The sequence below is a fragment of the Homo sapiens genome, chromosome X (assembly GCF_000001405.40).
Source record: "Homo sapiens chromosome X, GRCh38.p14 Primary Assembly".
Classification (NCBI taxonomy): Eukaryota; Metazoa; Chordata; class Mammalia; order Primates; family Hominidae; genus Homo; species Homo sapiens.
The window spans coordinates 105,178,550-105,204,816 of NC_000023.11; the positions used below are offsets into that span (position 1 = coordinate 105,178,550).

The following is a 26,267-nucleotide window of genomic DNA, read 5'->3' on the forward strand; positions in this document are numbered from 1 at the left end:
TTTTCTTTGGTAAATTGCCATACTGTTTTCCATAATGGCTGTATTAACTTACATTCCTACCAACGGTGTATAAGAGTTTCCTTTTCTCTGCATCCTTGCCAGCATCTATTATATTTTTCTTTTTGATGATAGCCGTCCTAATTAGGGCAAGATGATATCTCACTGTGGTTTTGATTTGCATTTCCCTGATGATTAGTGATATTGAGCATTTTTCATATATCTGTTAGCCATTTATATGTCTTCTTTTGAGAAGTGTCTATTTGTGTCTTTTGCCCACTTTTCAATGGAGTTATGTTTTTTTCTTACTGAGTTGTTTGAGTTCCTTGTGTATTCTGGATTAACTAGTCTCCTATCAGATTAATAATTTATAAATATTTTCTCCCATTCAACAGGTTATCTCTTTACTCTATTGATTATTACTTCTACTGTGAAGGAGTTTTTTAATTTAATCAAGTTCTATTTGTCTACTTTTGTTCTTACTGTCTATGTTTTAGAGGTCTTAGCCATAAATTCTTTGCCTAGACTAATGCCCAGGAGAGTTTTCCTTAGGTCATCTCTTAGTATTTTTAGTTTCAGGTCTTACATTTAAGTCTCTAATCCTTGTTGAGTTTCTCCTTGTATTTGGTAAGAGATAGGAATTCAGTTTTATTCTGCATGTGGCTATCCAATTTTCCCAGCACCATTTATTGAAGAGGGTGTTCTTTTCCCAATATAAGTTCCTGTTGGCTTTGTCAAAGATCATTTGTCTTTAAATATGTAGTTTTATTCCTGGGTTCTCTCTTCTGTTCCATTGGTCTGTGTGTCTATTTGTATACCAGTGTCATGCTGTTTTGGTTACTGTGGCTTTGTAATATATTTTGAAATCACGTAATGTGATGCCTGCAGCTTTGTTCTTTTTGCTCAGGATTGCTTTGGCTATTTCAGCTCATTTTTGGGTTCATATGAGTTTTTGGGTTGTTATTTCTAATTCTGTAAAGAATGATGTCAGTATTTTGATAAGGATTATATTGAATCTGTAGATTGCTTTGGGCAATATGTTTATTTTAACGATATTAATTCTTCTGATCCATGAGCATAGGATGTTTATCTATTTGTTTCTGTCACCTTCAATTTCTTTCAACAGTGTTTTACAGTTTTCCTTGTAGAGATCTTTTACCTCCTTGTTTAAATTTATTCCTAGGTATTTTTTTTTTTTTGTAAATATAGTGAGTGGGATTGCTTTCTTGATTTTTTTTTTTGCCTAGGTCATTATTGATGTATAAAAATGCTAAATTTTGCACACCGATTGCGTAACCTGTAACTTTACTGGATTAATTGATCAAATCAAAGAGTTTTAGTGGAGTCTTTAGGTTTTTTTAGATATTAGATTTTATCATCAGCAAAAAGGGACAGTTTTACTTCCTCATTTCCAATTTGGATGTCTTTTTTTTTTCTTCTCTTGCCTGATTGCTCTGGCTAGGACGTCCAGTACTATGTTTAACAGAAGTGGTGAAAGTGGGCATCCTAGCTGGGCACAGTGGCTTACACCTGTAATCCCAGTACTTTGGGAGGCTGAGACTGGCAGGTCACCTGAGGTCAGGAGTTCGAGACTAGTGTGGCCAACATGGTGAAACCCCATCTCTACTAAAAACACAAAAATTAGCCAGGTGTGGTGGCAGGCAACTGTAATCCCAGCTACTTGGGAGGCTGAGGCAGGAAAATCACTTCAACCCAGGAGGTGGAGGTTGCAGTGAGCTGAGACTGCACCATTGCACTCCAGCTTGGGCTGCAAGAGTGAAACTCCATCTCAAAAAACAAAAACAAAAACAAAAAAAAAAGAAAAGAAAAAAAGAAAAAAGTGGGTATCCTTGTCTTGTTCCAGATTTTAGAGGAAAGGCTTTCAACTTTTCCCCATTCAGTATGTTGTCAACTGTGGTTTTGTCATATATGGCCTTTACCTTTATTAATTTGAGATGTGTTCCTTCTTTGCCTAGTTTGTTGACTGTTTTTCATCATAAAGAGATGTTGAGTTTTATCAAATGCTTTTTTCTGCATTTATTGAGACAATCATATGGCTTTTGTCCTTCAGTCTGTTGATGTGTCGTATCATGTTTATTGATCTGCATATGTTGAACCATCCTTGCATCCCTGATATAAATCCCACTTGATCTCAGTGTATTATCTTTTTGATGTGCTGTTGGATTTCATTGTCTAGTAGTTTGTTGAGGATTTTTATGTCTATGTTCATCAGATATATTGGCTTGTAGTTTTGTTGTGTCCTTGTCTGGTTTTGCTATCAGTGTGATGCTGGCCTCATAGAATGAGTTAGGGAGAATTCCATCCTCTTTGGTTTTCTTGGAATAGTTTCAGGAGGATTGGTATTAGTTCTTCTTTTTATGTTTGATACAATTCAGCTGCAAATCTATCTGTTCCTGGGGTTTTCTTTTTTGGGAAACTTTTTATTAATGATGCAATTGTGCTACTCATTATTGTTCTATTCAGGTTTTCTATTTCTTCCTGATTTAGTCTTGGTAGCTTGTATGTTTCCAGGACTTTATGTATTTCCTCTAGGTTTTACAGTTTGTGAGCATACAGTTATTCATAATAGTCTCTGATGATCTTTTGTGTTTCTGTGGTATCAGTTGTAATGTCCCTCACTTTATTTCTGATTTTGAGTTTTCTCTCTTCTTGGTTAGTATAGCTAGTGGTTTATCAATTTTGTTTATCTTTTCAAAAATCCAACTTTTCATTTTGTTGATCCTTTGTATTATTTCTTAGTTTCTATTTCACTTAGTTCTGTTCTGATCTTTTTATTTCTTTCCTTCTGCTAATTTGGGGCTTGGCTTGTTCTTGCTTTTTAGTTCCTTGAGGTGTATTGTTAGGTTGTTCATTTGGCATCTTTCTACTTTTTTGATGTAGGTGTTTACTACTATAAACTTCTTAGTACTTCTTTTGCTGTATCCCGTAGGTTTTGGTATGTTGTCTTTTCATTTTTATTTGTTTCAAGAAATTTTTTATTTCCTTCTTAATTTCTTCACTAACACAGTGGTTGTTCAGGAGCATTTGAACAACTTCATGCATTTGTACAACTTCCAAAGTTCCTCTTGTTTATTTTTTGTTTTATTCTATTGTGGTCTGAGAAGATATTTGAGGTGGTTTTAACTTTTAAAAAAATATGTTGAGCCTTTGTTTTGTGGCCTAACATACCATCTATCCTGGAGAATTTTCAATGTGATGATAAGAATGTATGTTCTGGCTGGGCGCAGTGGCTCACGCCTGTAATCCCAGCACTTTGGGAGGCCGAGGCAGGTGGATCACGAGGTCAGGAGATGGAGACCATTCTGGCTAACAAGGTGAAACCCCGTCTCTACTAAAAATAGAAAAAAAAATTAGCTGGGTGTGGTAGCGGGCGCCTGTAGTCCCAGCTACTCGGGAGGCTGAGGCAGGAGAATGGCGTGAACCCGGGAGGTGGAGCTTGAAGTGAGCCAAGATTGCGCCACTGCACTCCAGCCTGGGCGACAGAGTGAGACTCTGTCAAAAAAAAAAAAAAGAAAAAAGAAAAAAAGAATGTATATTCTGCAGGTGTTAGATAAAGTCATCTGTAAATGTTTGTTAGATCCATTTGTTTAAGGTCCTATTTCAATCCAATATTTCTTTGTTGATATTTTGGTCTAGATGATCTGTCTAATGCTGAGATTGGGGTGTTGAAATCCCCCTCATTCTTATATAGGAGTCTATCTCTTCCTTTAGATCTAATAATATTTTCTTTGTATATCTGGGTGCTCTGGTGTTGGGTGTATATGTATTCAGAATTATTATATCCTTTTACTGAATTGATCCCTTTATCATTTTATAATGACCTTCTTTATCTCTTTTTATTGTTTTTGACTTAAAATCTGTTTTATATGATGAAAATGCAGCTATTCCTGCTCACTTTTGGTTTCTGTTTGCATGGAATACCTTTTCCATCCTTTTACTTTGTCTATGTCTTTATATGTGAAGCGAGTTTCTTGTAGGCAGCACGTAGTTGGGTCATGTATTTTTTTTATACATTCAACCAGTCTTTATCTTTTAAGTGGAAATTTTAATTTGTTTATAATCAAGGTTATTATTGATAAGTGAGTATTCCTGTCATTTTATTAATTGTTTTCTGGTTGTTTTGTATGTGTCTTGGTCTTTTGTTTCTCTCTTACTGTTTATCATTGCTGTTTGTTGGTTTTCTATAGTGGCAGCAGTGGGACAGACAGATGGATAGGATCTTGGACTCCTGGCCAGCATGTGTGGCATCAGCAATAATAGTAGTGGTGATGGGACAACACTTGGACTCCCTGGCAGCACTCACTATTGTTAGCAAGGATGGGAGGACAGTCTGCAGCCCCCAGCTGGGTGCATGCAGGTGGGTGCAGGTAGTGGGGATAGTGGCAGGCTGGGTGGGCTCATCCTCGGGTCTCTGGTAGGAATGCATAGATGCCAGCAAGGGTGGACTGGGCATGGTGGTCCCTAGGTGCCTGCATGGCATCCTCGGCACTGTGGCGAGTGGAGGGTGGTGTTTCAGACTGGGTGGGCCTATCTCTAGGTCCCCCAGTGGTGCACATGGGCACAGATTGTGATAGGCAGGGCAGGATGACCCACTGTGGTGGGTGCAGAGAGCCTAATGTCAGAGTGCATGAAGCACACAGTGGTTCTGTTGCTGTAGGATGGGCGGTGGGGAGTAGGCGGGGGGGCAATGGTTGGTGTTACTTGGAGCAACTCCAAGCCAGTGGGCAGCTTTCAGGCTTTGGAGAATATTTGTTGTGGCCTCTGGTGGCAGCAGCAGCAGCAGTTGTATGCAGGGAAAGCCTGTCCTCATGGTGTGTTAGTGCACAGCAGCCATGCTACTTTGGGGATAGAGGTTGCTGTCAATGGCAGCATCCCCAGGCAAGTGGGTGGCTTTCAGGCCCTGGGGAGCACATGCTTCAACGTCTAGTTGTGGCAGGAGTCACAGGTGTGGTGGCAGCAGTGTGTGGGGAGAACTTGTCATCAAGTCACATGCTAGTGTGCAATGGCCCTGCTGCTGGTGTGGGCAGGGTTTCTGTCAACAGCTTCAGATAGGCAGCTCTCAGGTTTTAGGGAGCATGTGCTTTGGCTCTCTTTGTCCCAGGGGCAGTCTCCCTGACATGTTACACTGCTCTGTTTCCTGGAGTATAGGAATCTGTAGGGGCTAGAATGTTGGGAACCCTGCCACACTGCCAGGCCCAGCTGGCATTGCACCACTGAAGCTCTCCAGGTGAATGCAGCTGGATGTAACTGGGGCTCCAGGGGTTTGGAGATGCAGGGACTAATGTCAGCACAGAATCCAGTCTCTTGAGGGCTGGCTCTCAACATGGCACCATGGCACAGTTTCTTAGGTCTCAGGGGATGTCTGGGATCCAGGATTAGCTAGCACCCTCTGTGGAGCAAGCTGTCACATGGTCTCCTGGAAGCTCCTTACATTAGTGCCAGGTTCCAGGAAGATTCAGGGTCTCTCCTATGGCTAGGGTTGCAGGAGATCATGGTGGGAATGTGGACTGCTGGGGTCACTCACTTACCCTTCCCCCACATTGGAGAGTCTCTCCAGGCTTCCAGCCTATCCTAGCCAAGCAAGCGGCCTCACTTTCCTTTCCATCCTTTTCTTAGGTGTTTCCTGTCACTTCTTTGTTGAAATTCAGCATTCTCTCTTAGGTGTTCTCTTTGAAGTGTAATTATGTACTATTTTGGTTCTTCTTTGTGGAGGAGGTGAGTGTTTGATACCTCTAGTAAGCCATCTTGAATCCTTCCTGAATATTTGCCTTTTTAACTTAAAAAAAATTTCATATAATTAAACTATTGCAGTTGACATATAAATGTAATTATATATATTTAATTATAACAATATGTATTATATACATTATATAACAACATAAAATATTTGAAGAGCACATGATATAAATACATACACATTTATAAATTATGAATATAATATGCAATTGAATACATTTAAATAATATAATTTATAAAATATGAATATGTTGTACAATCTGTAAAATATTGGAATATAAGTTATTATAATATAGCATATACCAAGTATACATATGATAATGGTATATAGTATTATTACTGTATACTATACATGTATTATTTCGTAGTATTATGTAAAATGAATATGTTTGAAAATATAGGTTAGAATATTTCATAATGCCCTTTTACTGTCATGAAGTGAAATTTATAGGTAATATGACTCACCTATGACCTAAATTTGAAAAAAAATGTAATGAATTTAATATAAAGATGAAATATAAGTAATTTAGTTTGAACTAATATGTATTATATGTAAAGGCTTGAGAGGTACAGTAGAATAATTAACAAAATAAGTATATAATTAACATAAGCAGTAGTAGTGGTAGCAGTAGGAATAGGAAAGCCTTACTGAGCATTATCTGTGTGTCAGTCCCTGTTCTAAGTACTTTCAGGTGTGTGATCACCTTTACGTACACTCTCTTAGACGTCAGTTGACTGGAACACATCTCAGAAGAACCTTCAGTTAACTGACATTTATTCCCACCTACACCCTCTCCCTTGTAAGACAAGCTTTTAGTCACTAATATCTTTTTTTCAAGATACTTATCTATGTATATAAGAGCCTAAACTTGAAATAAATAGTGGTTATCTCAAGGCAGGGGTTTGATATGAGGAATGAGGATAGGACTGTGTGTGCTGAATAAAGGAGACATTAGCTATATCTGCAATGTTTTATTTCTTTAATAAAACAAAGCTATTGAAAGTGAATTGGAAAAAAGTTAGCATTATTAATTTTGAATGATGAAATCCTGAGAATTTTTAATATTATTCATTTTAGTTCTCTGTTAACATTGAAATTTTAAAAAATAATAAAGAAAATCACCAGGAGACTTTCCAAGTGATCACATATGCAGCTTATCTTCCCAACCTTGAAACTCACCAACTCAGATAATCCATTTTACCGGTACTGGGTTAGAACTTGTCTGGTTTAGCACCTTCATTTCTTTAAGGAGTAGAAACTGGCTTTCCTTAAATTGGGTATCTTGTTAATGAGGCAGAGGTGGAAAGATAACTCAGATTTTCTGATCTCCAGCCAGCTCTCTACTATTTTCAGTACCTTGGCATTTGGGTCCAGGATGATGACCTCAAAAGCCTGACATATCTTCAGTCAAGCCACAAGGATTTTATTCGCTTCACAATTCTCTACTTATTGGGACAGAAAAGTGGATTCAGATGTTTTAGAAAAGATTTCTGAAAATCCAAAGGTTAATTTCCAGCTAATGTGAAAATTAGTTAACCAAAGCAGTTCACTCCACTAGCCCTTAATTATGTGAGTTATCGCAGGATGAGAATTTATGGATTCAGCACTGTATATCCACAGGTTCCACATCCATGGATTCAACTAAGCATGGATCAAAAATATTAAAAACAATATAACAATAAAAATAACCCAAACAAAAATAGAATATAACAACTATTTACATTGTATTAGGTATTATAAATACTCTAGAGATAATTTAGAGTATGTGAAACGATGCGTGTAGGTCATATTTCAAATACTACACCATTTTATATCAAGGTCTTGAGCATTCAAAGATTTTATTATCTTAATGTAGGGGAGAGGGTCCTGAAACCAATCCCCTGTGGATACTGAGGGCTGACTATAAACCTGAATTCAGTAAGACCTCCTAAGTTTCTGATCTAGGAGGTACTGAGGGGAGATGAAGAGTAAAAAGAAAGAAAGAAAAACATGAGTCTCTGACCTTGACTAAAGTGCAAATCAATAAGGTAGGAAAACCAAGATGCCATTTGACACCTACTTAAGCTCAGAGCATGACTAGGATTTGGTTGGGATATGCATGGAAGGTGGGAAAAATGGTATGAGGATGAAGACAGGAAAGAGCTGGCTGAGCAAAGGCCCACAGCATAACTGCTTTCTGACAAGGTTGGATAAGGTGAGACAGGGAGGGAAGTCAGCCTGTCTAGAGCAGGAAGTTTCTCTTGGAGAGTGGTAGACAGACACTTCGATAGGGTAGGGCTGATTTGAAAGGGTGTGGGTGGTAGACTTTGTGATTTTGACTATTCAGCATGGAATCACGAGTTCTGGAGTACAGTTGTAGCAGAGAAATTATTTTGTTATTCCTGTTTGTTAGATGCTAGCTAACCCAATTAAAAAATGAGCAATAACTGAACAAACATTTCTGAAAAACACACACAAATGACCAACAGATATATGAAATAATGTCACCATAACTAATTACCAGAGAAATCCAAATTAAAACCAAAATGAGACATCACCTTACACCTATTAAAATGGCTATTACCAAAATGATAAAAGATTGTGTTGGCCATAGTATATAATTTTAATGTAGCAAACCCCCACAGTGTGAACATGCCTCCCTATTCAGCTTCCTCTCTGATGACTGTCTGCCATCATGCTATACTTCACCAACCCTTAACTGCTTACAGTTTTGAGTACACACTCTATTCCTCACCTTTGTACCTCTGCTACCACAGTCCTCTTCATCTGGCTGAACTCTATCTGGTTCTTTAGACTCAGCTTAATCAATATCCAGGAGCCTACGCTTACCCTAAAATGACTTTTAAGAAATGCACATAAAAAACTTGTAAAGCACTGATACATAGAAAAAAAATTACCATAAACTCTTAACCCTAATGTGAGCATTATAACTGTTTGATTATTTTCCTTCCAGCCTTTTAAGGCCTATTTTATTTAAACAATAGAGATTTTATTGTACAAAATTTTGCATTCTGTTTTTTATTTGATTTGACATTATCCTTTGAGCATTATCCCATCATTAAAAAAATATTTAAATGGCCTTATAATATATTCCACCATGTTGGCTTACTTCAATACATCTAATTATTCTTCTATTAAAAAAAAACAGATTGTGTTGGCAAGGTTGTGGAGGAAAGGGAACTCTTGCACACTATTGGTGGGAATGGATATTTGTATACACACACACAATGGAATACTATTCAGCCTTTAAAAAGTAGAAAATCTTGTTATTTGCTTCAACATGGATGAACCTGGAGGATATTATGTTAAGTGAAATAAGCCAAGAACAGAAAGACAAATACCGCATGATCTTACTTATATGTGGGATCTAAAAATGTTGAACTTACAGAAGCAGAGACTAGAATGGTGGTTACAGGGGTGGAAAGTGAGGAATGGGATAATATTGGTTAAAGGGTACAAAGTTTCAGTCGAACAGTAGGAATAATTTCAGGATATCTATTGCACAGCATAGGAGCTATAGTTAATATATACCTGAAAATTGTGAAGAAAGGCGATCTTAAATGTTATCACTACAAAAAAATAATTCATGTGAGGTGAAGGTTATGTTAATTAGCTTGATTTAATCATTTTACAATGTATACACATAGAAACATCATGTCATATATCATATATATATACAATTTTATTTGTTAATTAGAACTTAATAAAGACAAAAAAAGAATATTGAAATAATCCAAGCAAGACATGAGAAGCACTTAGATAGTCTTCAGTGTCTTTAAGAATAGAAAGGAAGGGAACAGATTTGAGTAACTTCAGAAATGGCAAGGCTTAATGTTTTATGGAAAGGGTAGGAGGTGGTCAGTGAGAAGAGAAAGTCAAGATTCAGGGATGACTCCACACTTTTTGGCTTGGATGACTGTGGACATGAGAGGTGGGGCAGATTTGGTAGGGGAGAGAAGCTCACTGCTGAGCATCCTGGATTTGAAGGGACAGTAGAAACCCTGTTACAGGGTTTGGTGGGCAGTGCTACTACCCTGTCTCCCACAGGCACATTAGCATTAACATCAGTGCATCTGATTGTCTTGGCTAGTGTCTAATTCCCAAGGAGACTCATCAGGCCTCAGGAAATCAGAAGTTGAGGAGCTGGTTGTAATGCCTCACCATGGCTTCACTTTCAGAATGCATTGGAGGCTCATTCATGGGATAAAGATGAAAAGAGTGATCTTGACAAAGCATTGCACAGATTCTATAATGAGAGGGAAATGAAAATGGTTGTCAGCCCATTATTAAGTGTAATAACTAGGTTGCAATGAGATGAAGGACTTCATTTAGGCAGATCTTTCCCATTGATGAATAGTAGGGGGTAAAAGTGTGAAAGGGAAGCATATAATCCAATTCATAAAATATGTAAACTGAACAGAAATTTCTGGAAAGGTATTTTTAAAAACTTGAGGCAATAATCATTCATTGTATATATAGAGCTGGAGTGGGAAATCTTTCTATTGATGGACAATGATGCACAGATGAAATTTTAAAAATCAGTATTTTTTTCCACTGACAGAACTTTATTTTAAAAAAAATGACAAAAGCTCTGTCTGTACTTCTAGGCTAGGAGAAAAGAGGCACAGGTGTAGCAACAGGGGCACAGGCCACTCACATTTTAGAGAGTTTGACTTGCTTGTGCCTGTGGAGTGCCCATTTGAGGCAGACGGAGTCCACTGTGCTGGGTATAAACAGGAAGAAACTTTTCTTAGATGGGGGCATATCTGAGACAGAAATAGAAGGCATTCAACTCCCACATTAAAATATTAGGAAAAAGAGCACAACATTGTATTCAATAAGTAAAATATACACAAATGTTAAAATAAACACAACTATATTTCTGTTTTTTTAAGAGGAATTGACTGAATTTTATTTATTTATTTATTTTTGAGACAGAGTCTTGCTCTGTTGCCCAGGCTGGAGTGCAGTGGCACGACCTCTGCTGGTGTGCAGTGGTGCGATCTCTGCTCACTGCAACCTCTGCCTCCCGGTCCCAAGCGACTCGTGCCTCACCCTCCAGAGTAGCTGGGATTACAGGCATGCCCCGCTAATTTTTGTATTCTTAGTAGAGATGGAGTTTCACTGTGTTGGCCAGACTCGTCTCGTACTCCTGGCCTCAAGTGACCTGCCTGTCTCTGCCTCCCAAATTGCTGAGATCACAGGTGTGAGCCACCGCACAGGCTCACACACAACTATATTCTTAAATATAATGGTAGGATGGGATAATCATTCCTAGATACTTAATTTTAAATAAATTGTTATGGGTCAGATAAAGTTTTCCAAGGTCTAGATCTGACCTTTGGAGGTTACGTCAAGAACATGAATTATTAATAATTAATTACTCTGTAAACACTGTGTATAATTCATAGATAAATAATTAGCATACATTACCTTACGGCTATTCTTCCCACAATGGTTATTATTTGGGAATATGATGTCCCTCACCTGGAAATGTCTACTCCTGGAGAGGCATGAACTCTGTGGAATACATATGACAATTTGGATAGCACCAAGCAAATTTTAATCTTTTACTAGCTCATGGGCTGGGATGAAGAAGAGTATAGGAGGCAGGATATAGAACACATAATGACTAAGATTATAAGTTCTGTGTCTAACTTATTTGGGTTAGAGTCTGAATTCTGCCACTACAACTTGAGTGACCTTGAGCAAGTCACTTAAACTCTCTGAGCTTTCTTTTTTTCTTATCAGTAAAGTGGAAATAACAAGAGTCCCTCCCTCCCAAAGTTGACATGAGAATGAAAGGAGAAAAATTTGTGCAAAACACCTAGCACAGTTCTTGGATGTTCTATTCTAAGGGCTCAATGAAACTCATAGCTGCTGCTGCTGTTACACTTTTCTGTGCTGGGTCATTCACTGGGTGGGGGGATGGGGGTGTAGCCTGGTTCCCCAGTTTGAGCAAGATCGCAGCTGTATTCTCAACTTTTGGCTTCTGTCACCTACAATGGTGCATCCCCATAGGTGTGCTGTGATTCTTCTCAAGCAACCAGCAGTTGGTCAATGATAAATCCTTAGTTTTAAAGCTTATGTGGGGAAAACATGTAAAACAAAAACTTGGACAGCTCGCCCTCTAGTGGTAATTTTATGAATTGCCCCCCAACAATTGCCCTTTTAGCTCACAGGAAAACTGATAGTAAAAATGAATGGGATTAAGTTTACATAGTTGAAACACCTGGTTTAACAAATGAATTTGTTAATCACAAACACATAATAAGCTAGTATAGGGTACACATGCTTGCATATTTTCTCAAGTGCTGATTAGCCATTATACCTAACAAGGGATTTCCAATTTGGGGAAAAAAAAATCCAGAATCAGCAATTCTATACATAGTTATATATCCTGTCCCCCAATAAATAATTGTACATAGTCATTAGAGTCTAGTTTTATTGCACTCAATGTTCTTTTTTTCTAAAATAATGTTATAATTGTTGATAATAACAACTTATCCTCTTACAGGTATGTATAAACTTTTCACAGGGTTTTGTTTTTACAACAGATAGATGCGGCAGGATTTGCCTTCCTGGTTGTACTGAAGAGGAAGTAGGAGGCTTATCTATAAAGAGGCCAAATGAGTTTGCTTGGGACACCCAGGGCACTTTGCAGGGGACTGCACTAATTTTTACTCCTAGGAATCTCCTCCTGGCAAAATAAATTGCATAGATGCTGGCATGTTCCTTTCTAGTCTTTAGATGCTCCTTCTTTGGAATCTTTATGTCAAACTCCCTAAACATACATTGGTTGTACAGATCAGAATGAAAATGATTAAAATAGAGATACGAGTTTTATACAAGTGGCTTTCTTCACTCCATTATAATTGTTTTGGAGAACTCAGATATTAAAGCATTTTGTTTGTTTGTTTGTTTGTTTTGAGACGGAGTCTCACTGTGATGCCCAGGCTGGAGTGCAATGGCACGATCTCAGCTTGCTGCAACCTCCGCCTCCCAGGTTCAAGTGATTCTCTGTCTTGGCCTCCCAAGTAGCTGGGACTACAGGCATGCGCCAACATGCCTGGCTAATTTTTGTATTTTTAGTAGAGACAGGATTTCACCATATTGGCCAGGCTGGTCTTGAACTCATGACCTCAGGTGATCTGCCCACCTCAGCCTCCCAGAATGCTGGGATTACAGCTGTGAGCCACTGCACCCGGCCGATATTAAAGCATTGGTACCCACAAGACTAAACCAAGAGTAATAACTTTTTGAGCCTTATAGAAATCTAAGTCAAGGGAGTAGTGATGAGAATCTTAAAAACCTGCAATTGTTCTTTTAAATACTGAAATTGCTATTCATAAGACTTGAGTGAACAGAGAAAGGATAATATAGGAATAGGAGGTGTTTTCAAATCCAGGGACAAGAATATTTATAATCATACTCACTGATTGTGAAACAAAGGGCAGACATACATTCACTTATACTTTCAGTGGGTTCGTTCCGTAGCAAGCTTCAGTCCAACTGCAGAGTTTCACTATTCAGGGGAAGTAGTGAAATTCCCTTCCTTCAATGCCTCCATTCACATTTGTGGCTGGTCAGGGAGATACAGTTATCAAATCACCTGTGGGAGAAGCCAAGCTATCTAGTCAACAGTCTTCTCAGGAGCCCTGCAAGGAGCTTGCTTAAATAGGTACCACTGGAATTGTGAACAGTATAGGGCTGGATACCTCCTGTGGATTGCAGGCTTGTGCAGATGAGATCAAGCGCACCAGTTGGCTCCCTCTATGGGCTACTCAGTTCCACTGCGGCCCCAATTGATCAGTAGCCTGCACCTTTGTCAGCTGCATCACAGATGTATTCATTCAGTATTTGCCAAATATGTATGGAGAGTCTACATGCAAGGGGCTCTGGAAGTATGGCATGTGATTGCAAACTCCTGATGACAGAAATCTGACTTGCATGCATTACTTTTAATGGCACTTGGCAAATTCAGTTATATGTGACCTTTCATCTCTTCTTGCCCTTTTGTGACTTTCTGACACCTCTAAGCTCTTCCCTCTTAACGTCAGTGTTCAATCCCTCCATGTTGACTGATCACCTGACTTTTCAGGCCTCTTACCTCAGCCTATACTTCTTAGTTGCTTCCCTAGTCCCAAATCTAAAAATAAATGTGCTACATCCTTTTCTACCTCCTTTTGTCCCACTCTTGGTTTATTAAGAATAGCAATCCAATAAAAATTAATCATACCAACTTGTTGGAATCTAGTAGGGGTCTAATACTCTAATTTAGGTTTAAGGCTACAATGCCTTAGCTCATGGAAATTGATTTCTACTGATGAGAGTGTAGTGTGGGAAAATATTTGGTGGCACGTAGGCATTCATAGATCCGTGTTATCATACCTCTGGTCCATTTTAATGGGAAAATTCCCTGAGATCTCTTGAAATATGTTGTAACCTTACACTGCAAATACTAAGGGAAAAGAATAAATGGGGATAACGTTTAGAAATTATTTTCTCCATTATTGTATTGCTGTTCTCTGGCTATTGACTACCTTATAACTAAATACTCTGATACCTAAGGCAAGGGAACAGAAGAAAAGAGACCATAAATCTATTAAGTCAAATACATATTGCTCACATGGCCCTTAAAGGGAAATGAATTATCAGTGTACGCTCCAGGTCTGCATGATAAAACTAATTGTAATGGCAATTAAATGTCTTACACTGCCATTGAGCATGCTCGCTGTGACTCTGGAGCAGATACATTGATTACCTTCAGTACTTACCATGTCCCATCACAAATAGGCCAAAGCAGACTGTTAACATTGTAAAAGTGTAGAATTATGCAATAGATCACTTAGAAGACTTAGAAGAGATAACTAAAGAGATTTGGGAAGCAAATTGAAATAGCATTTCAATTTTTTTTTCTATCAAGTAGGTAATGATAGAGTTTGATGCTATTTTGCAAAGCCAAATTTGTTAATTCAAAAATATTTGCTGTGCATTTTAGGATTAGGGGAAAACAAAAACTGAAATAATAGTTTAAAAAAATATTCCCGTGGGGTTTATTTTGTTTCTATTAACCAACTTTTGAAAAACAAGCTGTGAGAAAATATTTATTTTCTAACATACTTATATCATTACCTCTCAGTTGTTTTAATGCATGCAAACAGTATCACAGATAATTTATAAAAAGAATAATATAAAATCCATTTAAAGATGATAAAACAATAAATATTAAAGTTGTATTTGATCCAGAGGTGTATCACTAGTAATTTATAATGATCCAGAAAGTTCAGCAAATTCAAGTTTCCTTCTTTTCCTTCTTGAAAGTTTTGCAGTGACAAATGACAAGTAAATGATCCAATAGCAAGGAGTGAATTTAAAAGACTCCTGAGAGACAACCAGTGATCAGTACATATTTAGTCTAAACCACTGTACCTTCTTAGCTTTAACAGTGTACAGTGATCATCAGAATCCATAGTGATGAATCTCATACCTCTGAATCCTCGAAGAAAGTTTAGATGCCCTTCACTATCAATTTAAAGGGAGTTATTTATTTGTTTGTTTGTTTATTTCTAATGAATACTTCACATACTATAAGAGGAGTTGAGGCAGTGTGTAATAACAGCCCACGTGCAGCAGGCCAGTGAAAGCCAAAGTCAGAGAGAGAGATCAGAAACCAGAGTTCAAAATCTTTCTTGGGCCATAAAACCCTTTGAAAATCTGAAAAAAAAGGGCTATGGAAAATTTCCCCAGAAAAGTATACCTGTGCAAATAGGCACATTGTTTTGCCAACTACCTTGAAGCCCATGCAAGCATCTTCCCCCTGGGTGTCCTTGAACCCTAGTTCAATAATCCCTCATATAGAGAAAGTGAAATCCTGAGGTAAGATAGTTATTACACTTAAACATTGCATTTAGCTCTGAGCTTCCTGTCAACTGAAGTTAAAAGATTAAACACGCTGGGTTAGAGTTCTCAACATCTAAAAAAGGAAGCAGATCAGTTCACAAAATCATAAGTGAAACATATAATTTTAAAATGGCAATGTTTATACATTTCTCTGAGATGATTGTTTTTTAAAGGGTAATCAAGAAAAGTGAAAGGATACAGCGTATTTTGATGACATTTTTTGAAAATAAGCAAATTAGAAATAAAATAGCTATGCTAATTATATTGACCAGCATATGCGATTGGCCACAGCATTTCATTTTTAACCGTTCTGGAAAATAAGGAATTTACTGTACATGTCTTTCTTTAATGGTAGATTTGCCTACCTAATATTATTTGATTACAGCTGACAGTAATATAATATATTCCCATGAGCACTCGGCAGCTAAGCAGAAAGGGAGGCCTAAGGGTATAAAGAGAAATTGACCTATGATTAAATATATGCTATTAATAGGTCATACCATAGAAAACTGGCATGTATATAACAGCAAATAATCACTTTAGGTGCCTACTACTTCCAACCAGAGCATTTACTTTCTCAAAGGCAAATAATAGCACAATTGTTATTGTCACAATTATAGGCATAGGCAGTATAGGGTAGAGGTTAAGAACACAATCTGGAATCAGAGACTGGTCTTCCACCACTTATTAGCTGTGCGACCTTGGGCAAAGTCATTTAACTTCTTTTGTCTCAGTGTCTTCATTTGTAAAATAAGAAGAAAAGCCTTCATCTCAGGACCGCTTCTAGGCTGTGTAGAGGTCTCTTGGAAATATTTGTTTTGTGGGGCTCCTGTCTATATAAACAATTCGAGTCACCTAAAACCAGTATGTCAGCAGCATCATTCTAGTAGTCCAATTTCATAGGCTAATGTGATGGATAGCAGAAGCAAACAATTTGCCTGGCTACTCTGCTGGAATTAGGACCTGGCCATGGTGCCACAGGACAACCCTATAGGCATGAGTTCTGGAGCTCCTTGAAGAATCTGGTCCACCCCAAGCAGAAGGTGGCTGTAGAATATTGGAAGATACCCCAAAGGCACAAGACTGGAGCAGGGGCTGTGCTTACTAAGGTCTAAGCAAGATACAAGTCTATCTCATAGGATTACTGGGAAGATTGAATGAAGTAATCTATGTGGAGCACTTAGGACATGTTGGTGATGATTACTGCTCACACTATTAGTGTCAACAATGCTCACTGTATCTTATACCTCTTCTGATTTTCTTTCAGTGGATGGCTGCATTGACTGGTCAGTGGATCTCAAGACATACATGGCTTTGGCAGGTGAACCAGTCCGAGTGAAATGTGCCCTTTTCTACAGTTATATTCGTACCAACTATAGCACGGCCCAGAGCACTGGGCTCAGGCTTATGTGGTACAAAAACAAAGGTGATTTGGAAGAGCCCATCATCTTTTCAGAGGTCAGGATGAGCAAAGAGGAAGATTCAATATGGTTTCACTCAGCTGAGGCACAAGACAGTGGATTCTACACTTGTGTTTTAAGGTGAGTGTTGTGTGAAAACATTGCCCAATCACATGGCTGATAGTCTTTTGAGTGGGACTTGAGTACATGTAGGTATGCCTCATGTTGTATAATGGATATGTTCTTGAAAGGTTGCAGTACATGTGGAGCTTCAGTAAATTCCAGTTCTAATTATCTATCAGAACTACATAGCAAATTCCTATTAGATTTTCATAAAATAGGATTCCCATTTACTGTGTGTGCTTATTTAATTTAGAAAATTTTGTGACTCGGGCCGGGCGCAGTGGCTCACACCTGTAATCCCAGCACTTTGGGAGGCTGAGGTGGGTGGATCGCCTGAGGTCAGGAGTTCAAGACCGGCCTGACCAATATGGTGAAACCCTGTCTCTACTAAAAATACAAAAATTAGCCAGGCATGGTGGCAGGTGCCTGTAGTCCTAGCTCCTCAGGAGGCTGAGACAGGAGAATTGCTTGAACCTGGGAGGCAGAGGTTGCAGTGAGCCGAGATCGCGCCACTGCACTCCAGCCTGGGCAACAGAGCAAGACTCCATCTCAAAAAAGAAAAAAAGAAAATAAGAAAATTTTCTGACTCATTTCTTCCCTCACTCCACCCCTGCCGCATGGTCTTATATTAACAATTAGTTTTGCATACAGCTAGTTGACTCAATTATCTTGATATCTGGCCACGAAAATGATCTAAAATATCATTTTGGCCATGGTCTTGCCTTTCTTGTTGATGAAAAATAGTTTCAAATGCGTCTAGATTTCTCAGCAAATGTACTACTGCTGAAATCCTTCATAGAATTTGCAATGCAAATTTGAGTCCACTGTGTCTAAATAATCAACATCGAGCTCTGTAAATACACAGTCATCCTGAGTTTCTGGGTACTATAGTGGAAAGATATCACAGACATAATTCTTGCTTGCAAGAAGTTTACAGTAAAAAGCAATATGTTTTTTCCCTTAGGGATTCTACAGTATGTTCTCCCTTCCCCCTCTACCCCAGTGATAGAATCTAGGATCTAGCATCTAGCATCTCAAATAGAGACTGGATTAGGTATTGAAGTAGGTAGCTGAGACGACCTTTAGGCCACCTTTCAATTCTGCAATTTTGGGAGTCTTTGGTCTTGCTCACCAGGGACCTGCACTCTACTATTTGATTTTAACTCCTTGGAAATGCAGACCTTTCCTATTTTTGTGTCCTGTGAACTTTGATGCCAAAGCTATGTCACTTCCTCATCAAAAGCACTTGGAAGCCCCTGGCGAGGTCTCATTGTTCAAAAGCCCAGGAGAACAAGGTGGTATATAAATAGAGAGCCTTCTGGATGCTCTAAGAATCACTTTTATGTGTAGGGGAAGAAAATGGAGTGATGGGGGAGCAAATGGTGAGTTTAGTCTCTGTTTGTGGTAGGCAAGATCTTCAGGATCTTGGGAGAACAGCAGTCATTCTGATCACACCCTTAGTGTTAAGCGGTATTTTCTCCTACTTGGGCAGCTCTTGGCAAAATTGAGAAGCAGATGTAATTCAGCTTTAGTGACTGACACTATATTCCCTAGGGTGCTGCTACTCTTTCCTTGCTTATCTCCTCTCCATCCCACACTGTCATTAAAAACCCACCAATCAAAATTATCTCTCTTCTCCTCCCCCTGCACCATTTGCTTTTTGTTTGTTGTTTTCACAAATTTAAAGTTTTATTTGCAAAGCATCAGTCCACTATGTACAAGTGCTAAGCTTACAATGAATTATTAAACAAATTATTGCTACTTCCCCAGGCCTGCTAATGTCTTCAGTCTTGTTACCTCCCCTCTTTTCCATTCTCCGCTCTAACCCCATTCCTTTACTCCTAGCAATAATAACAACTTAGTGATCCCTACATGCATTTCCCCTACTGTTTTAATTATACAAACATACTGACATGGCTATTTTCTCCTCATTGTTTTATAAAATGAAAGGAGGGTTATAGATTTCTCTGCATTTTCTTAGCTTAGTAAAAATACATGGTATAAATCTCTCCAAGTCAACTGATAGCTTTTTTTTTTTACTTTTATTTTAGGCTCAAGGGTATATGTGCAGGTTTGTTATACAGGTAAACTGCATGTCATGGGGGTTTGGTGTAAAGATTATTTTGTCACCCAGGTAATAAGCATAGTACCTGATAGGTAGTTTTTTGATTCTCTCCCTCCTCCCACTCTCCACCCTCAAGGAGGCCACAGTTTCTGTTGTTTCCTTCTTTGTACCTATGTGTTCTCATTGTTTAGCTCCCACTTGTAAGTGAGAATATGCAATATTTGGTTTTCTGTTCCTTATTTTACTAAGGATAATGGCCATCCACATTGGTACAAAGGACATTCTTATTTACAGCTGCATAGTATTCCATGGTGTATATATATGTACCACATTTTCTTTATCCAGTCTACCGTTGATGGGCATTTAGGTTAATTCCATGTTTTTGCTATTGTGAATAGCACTACGATAAATACATATGTGCATGTGTCTTTATGGTATAATGATTTACATTCCTTTGGGTATATACCCAATAATGAGATTGCTGGGTTGAATGGTTAAATATATAATATTGTATGTTGCTTAATATTTTATGATAACACAAGTCAGTCAATCATTTCCCTATTGATGAGTATACACTTTGTTTCCAGTATTTTGTCCCTACAAAAGGCGCTGTAATAAAAATCCACTATTTGCTTTTCAATAAACTTTAAGAAGTCTTCGATTTACGTAGTTATTGCAAAGATAATATAGAGTTCCTGTACACTTTATATCCAGCTTTCCCATTTTATTAACATCTTACATGACTATAGTACATTTGTTACAATTAATGAACCAATAGTGGTACATTATTATTAGCTAAAGTCCATATATTCTTCACATTTCTTCAGTTTTTCCTTAATGCCTCTTTTCTGTTTCAGTATCCATCTCTGGTAGCGCATTGTATTTGGTTGTCATGTCTCCTTAAGCACTTCTTGGCTGCATCAGTTCCTCAGACTTTCCTCATTTTTGATGACCTTGACAGTTTGAGGTGTACTGGTCAGATAGTTTGTAGAATGGTCCTCAACTGAGATTTATCTGATATTTTTCTCATGGTTAGACTGGGGTAATATGTTTTGAGGAGGAAGATTACAAAGGTAGAATACCATCCTCATCACATTGTATCAAGGGTATAAAGTATCAATATGACTCATAACTGTTGATGTTGACTTTGATCACCTGGCTTGAGGTGATGTTTATAATTTTTCATTGTAAAGTTACTTTTTTTTTCTTCCTTTCCATACTGTAGTCTTTGGAAGAAAGTTGTTATTCACAGTCCACACTTAAGAAGAAATATCTACATAAATTATTTCAAATTCTTCTGCATGGAAATTTGTCTCTCCCTTTCCCCACTTACTTATGTGTTCCATCATTTATTTGTATCAGTATGGACTCATTTTTATTTATATTATACACCGGCTTGTAATGCAATTCTACTTAATTTTCTTGCTCAGATTCTTCCACCTTTGCCCGTGGGAAGCTCTTTCAGTTGGCTCATTTGTCCCTTTGATATAATTCTATCATTGTGGAGTGGTGGTTGTATTTTTTTTTTTTTTTAGCATTTCCTTACATTGTAGAAAGATGCTCCAGGTTTATCTTATATATTTTGTGCCCCAGTTCTAGAATTAGCCATTTTTCCAAGGAGTCCTGTTTTTTTAATGGATAATTGCATTAGAAACCTAGATTTGGTTGCTAGGTATGCTCATTGCTATTGGGGTGTTGTTGCTTCTAAGTCTTCTCAGCTAACAGTCTATTTGCTTTTAAACAAAGCCATAGATTGTGAAGGAGTACTTTAGGGATAGTGGAACTTCCCAAGGTCCCTGAAGTCCTTTCCTATAGGTGGCTCTCTCTTTCAAGTACATTTCAGATTGGCCTTTTTTATGTCTATTTTGGATACCATATGAGTCAGAGGTTCTCAACTCACATCTAGACCAATAGAAGATAAAAGAATTCCACTAAGATTGGAACATAACTTGTGACTTTTTAACTTTTGTGCAGCAAGCCTTAGGGAGCTATTGGGACTGATAGAGATAGGTGGAACTGTTGAATATTACCTCTCATGTGTGCCTTAGTAAGGAAAAAATGTTTGGAAATCACTGTTCTAATAGAATCAACCAGGCTTTTATCAACTCAGAGATACATAAATCTATTCCAGGTATATAAGTGAAATAGCTAGCATATGTCTGTGAATAATGAACCTGTTTTTCATATCTAGTAGTGGCCACTGACTTCTACTATGTGCCAAGTGAGAAATTCCGTCCATATAGGTGATTTTATGCAATTGCCAAGAGTGACATTTATTGTGAAAAGGGCTCTTAATTTGACAATGTCAGTATTCACCTAAAATCTCCAGTTAGATACCACTTTAAGGTAATTACGAATGACTTTTCTATGTTTTATTGATCTCATTAAAAGTTACTCTACTGATGTCACTGTGATTAAAAATGAAGATATGAAATATTTAGTAATATTCTCCACCCATGTGAATGACAGCAAGAAAAATTTACTGTTTGTGACCTTTCAGTGGCCACTTGGCTAATGAATAATTTTTAAATTTTTCCTTGGCCAGACTCAAGAGTGATTAGTTGAATTTCCCAGCATAATAATGGGCTGGTAATATGAGAATGGTAGAGGATTAAATCATATTGTGAGAGACGGTGCCAATCGAAGAATCACACCAATATTTTCAATGGAGGCATGAATTAATAGGATAAAAATGATAAAGGTAATCTTATTTGACAAAATCTCACATATCATTTTCTCAACAACTTGGAACAAGGGGTGACTTAAGCTGTGAATGAAGATAGATATAGTCATATAATCCTGCATTGAATTCACAGATATTGAAAAGAATGATTGGCCAGGTGCGGTGGCTCGTGCCTATAATCCCAGCACTTTGGGAGGCTGAGGCAGGTGGATCACATGAGGCCAGGAGTTCAAGCCCAGCCTGGCCAGTATGGCGAAACCCGGTCTCTACTAAAAATACAAAATTTCGCTGGGCGTGGTGGTGCACATCTGTAATCCCAGCTACTCGAGAGGCTGAGGTACGAGAATTGCTTGAATCGGGAGGCAGAGGTTGCAGTAAGCCGAGATTGTGCTACTGCACTCCAGTCTGGGTGACAGAGTGAGACTCCGTTTCACACCCACACACACACACACACACACACAAAATTAAATATAATTGAACATCTGTAAAAACCTAACATTTAGGGATAATTATGGCTGAGTGCAGAGAATCAGTTAGAGGTTCAAAATTATTATGACCATTTACCTCTGCAACGAGGTAAACATAACAAGGAGTTCCCTTATAAAATGGGAGCATAATCCCAATATTTTTGGTCTCTAATAGTCATTGAAAGAAGTGAGGTTCTCAAAATCTGAATGCCTCACAACATCTTTCTGAACAGTTCCTTAGTATATGTCTAGCCAGGAGGCACAATTGCTTTGATTTCAAATGTGAATAATCAATTCACAGTTGAATGATTATTACTCCAGCAAAACAGCATCAGAAGAAAAGTTGAGGGAGTGGATACACTTGAAACGAAAAGCATAGCATGTTGCTAATTTTTGAATCTGTATGGTGGGTACATGAGGATTCATCATATTGCCCTGTGTATTTTTTATCATGTTTGAAATAGTCCATAACAAAAAAAAGAAGAAATAAATGTAAGTATACAGTAATTTTACTTGATTTTATTGTCACTTAAATGATCCTGGCCTATAAATACCTAGGTATCATATATAAGCGAGTATTTTTATTTCAGTCAACAAACATTCATTGAATACATATCATGGGACTCACTTTATGGCATATTGCAAGAAGACCTGTGTCTTTAGAAAAGAAAGTGATGCTCTAGTCTACATCAGACACAAAGAAATGGCTCTTAGCACCTTCCACTCTCCTACCCTACTTCCCATCGCGGTTACCTAGAGATTTTCAAGGACAGTGAACATATCTCATAATTCAATTCCAACTTAACTATTGATCCGTGAAAAGTTAAGTGTCAACAAGTCGGTTACCCAGGTAGCAATTTCCAGGAGAGCAGGTAGTTTCTTGTCAGAAAAATGAAAGCCTGGATCTTATAGAATTAATTGACCTCAGAAAAGATCAAGAAAGTGTAGCAGGATCTTGAGACAGCAGGAATTTCATTCCCGAAATGAAATGTAATTAGTTATTTTTCTATCTGTTTTTGGTTATAAGCAGGGGTCTCTGATTCCATTATTTTTATGGCAATTTGATAATCTACTTGTTAATAAAATTATATAGGAAAATTTTTACATAGCAAAGAAGTAACCATTTTACTTTATTTTCATTTCATTAGCATTAAATTAGATATGTTGTAATGTTTAGAAATATAACCATACTATTGTACATTAACTATGTAATTTCAACTTCATTCAGTTTGTTTACTGGAAGGAAGCAGATGCTTACAGTTTAGTCAGCAGGAGTACCTGCTTTGTAAGAATTAATAGGTTATATTTGATAACCACAAAAGAAGAATTGATCTCAAATAGTCACTGATGAGTTGGTTAACACTGTTATTTATATATACTTTTTAGTTTAATCCCTTGTATAATTACACAATCTTAAGTGACTTGGTTTTATGGCTATCTTGCTCAGAATCAAGGTTTTAACCTAATGCAGGGTTGTAAACTCAAAATCTTTTCAGAGGTCAAGAAGGTAATGTAATGAGTGTGGCAGGCCACCTGAAACATTTTGGAGTGTTGGAAGTTGTAGCAATCCCCTCCATAATCTCATTTCATGCATTCTACTCTATTGCCACTACCTCCTATTTTTCTAGCTCATTTTTTTCTATACCTTACCTCCAATAATCTATTGATTCCACCCAACCATCTTTCTCATTGATCTCACATGTTTTCCACTGTACCTTGTTCTCTTCCCATCTAGCATAGTTCCAATTCAGTGGATCAATCATTATAATCACTCCCATATACACCCTCTTGATTCTCTTAACCCTTTCTCCCTTCATCTTACTCGCTTGTGAAAACCACAACACTGTTTAAACCTAACTGTCCATCTATACTATGCCTGCATCCTTGCAGCTAAACTTGGCTGAAGGAAAATATATAATAATGTTGACTGGTTTCACATTAAATTCATTGTCATGGACCTCAAATTGACCTTTAATGCTACCAGGTAGTTTTATTTTATATTCTTAGACCATTCAGTCTCCCATCTGCCTAGATGACTATTTTATATCATCTCCACTCCTCAGATCTCCAATATCTCCTCCCCCTTGCTTCCAGTTTCACAGAGAAAAAAAATGTAGTCAGGAAAAAAACTTCCACTACATCTGCCCACCTACTGGCATCTATACCTACATATTCTGCCTTCCAGCCTGTTACCACAGATGAACTGGCCTTGCTTCTATGTAAGGCAAGTCACTTCATGTGTACACCAGATTCTATCCCTATTTGCTTACCCAAGAACATCACCTGAGCAATTCTCCTCTCTCTCTCCCATATCATGAAATTTTCTATTTCTACTGGATCATTTCCATCAGCATGTATACAGATCAGTATTTATGCCATCTAAAAAAAATCCTCTCTACTCCACTTTCCTGACAGCCACTATTCCCGGTTTCTTGCTCCCATTTGGAAAAAGCTACTTTAAAGAATTATCTGGTTATGGTATCATGGTTGTTTATATAAGTCCAAACCCTTCAAACTGTACCCATTAAATATATGCAGTTATTTGTGTATCAATTATATCTCAATAAAACTATTTATAAAAAAAAGTGTTGTCTGCATTCAGTTTTGAGTTCCTCTCCACTTATTCTCTAGTAAACCCATTCCAATCAAAATTTTACCTTCAAACTCTTCCAAACCTGCTCTTATAAAAGTGTCCAATGACCACAACAATACTAAATCCAATGGGCATGCCAGTTTTCAGTTCTCCTATTACTTGACCTGTAATGTCATGTGGCATAGTTGATCACTCCCTTCTTTTTGATAATGCATTCTTTACCTGACTTCCAGAGAATAGTACTCTCTTGGCTTTCCTCATACTCTATCAGTTACTCTTTCATAAGTTCTTTTCCTGGCTCCTGGTATTCTTTCTGACCCCTTAATGTTAGAAGGCACTAGGGATATAGGCCCAACATTGCCAGTTTTTCTGATGTTTTGAAAGCTGAATAATTGTGTGAAATTTCTCAATTTTTAAATTTATGGGATCCTCCTGCCCAAAAAAGCCCATACTCAGATTCAACCATTGAACTCAGTTCTCATACTCTAAACTAATAGGTTCTGACTCCAACATTAACCTAGAGAGCGATGGTATAGTCATCTTAAAGTAGGACTGCAGCAGGTTTTATCTGTATCAAAGTGAAGCAGGAAAATCAACACTCCAATGGCAAGATAGATTAAAGGAAACCCGCCACTCTCCCTAGAGTACATTTGAGCATTCAGTAGTAGAGTCATATGGTGTCCCTTTATGTGGCAACTGGCCCAATTCCAGCTTAATCCCTTGTGTGGCTATTGGAGTCTTCAAAAAATGCACTGATCAGTATAGGGGTCCTTATTGCTAGCTACGGTGTACTGAAATAGGTATTCTATCAAGAGGATTCTATTGCTATAAAGTGCTGCTTCTCCTCCACCTTCCTTCCTGTCAATGATCAAACAGCAACTCTTTAAAAGGGCAGAGGACTGAAGATGTGCAATAACTCTAGTCCCAGGCATGAAAAGTAACTTCAGTGAAAATATCCATTCAATGCTTATATGGACTAATATTGTGCCTATCACTATGGCGAACCCAAGAGAAAATTATGACACAGCATCTGCCTTTTAGCAGTTACTAAAGGAGGAATTACTAAGAGTTACTGAACTAGCTAGGACTCTTCTATACCTAACACTGTGGTGCAATCTTCTATATTACTATTAATACTACTGTGTCCTATTAGGAGTATGGTCTCTGGAGCTGGACTGCTTGGAGTCAAATCTCAGTTTTATTACTTACGAATTGTGTGACCTTGAGCAATTTATATGACTACTCAGGTTCAACCAGGGGACTCACAGTTTGCAAACT

The 26,267-nt window shown here is 37.8% G+C and overlaps 1 protein-coding gene across 1 annotated transcript in view; it reads left to right on the forward strand.

Annotated features, from left to right (window-relative positions):
* IL1RAPL2 (interleukin 1 receptor accessory protein like 2) overlaps positions 1-26,267 on the forward strand; it is a 1,201,631-nt gene that overhangs the window by 612,351 nt on the left and 563,013 nt on the right. The window contains exon 3 of the mRNA NM_017416.2: positions 16,926-17,199. Coding sequence (NP_059112.1) covers positions 16,926-17,199 — 274 coding nt within the window. The remainder of the gene's footprint in view (positions 1-16,925; positions 17,200-26,267) is intronic.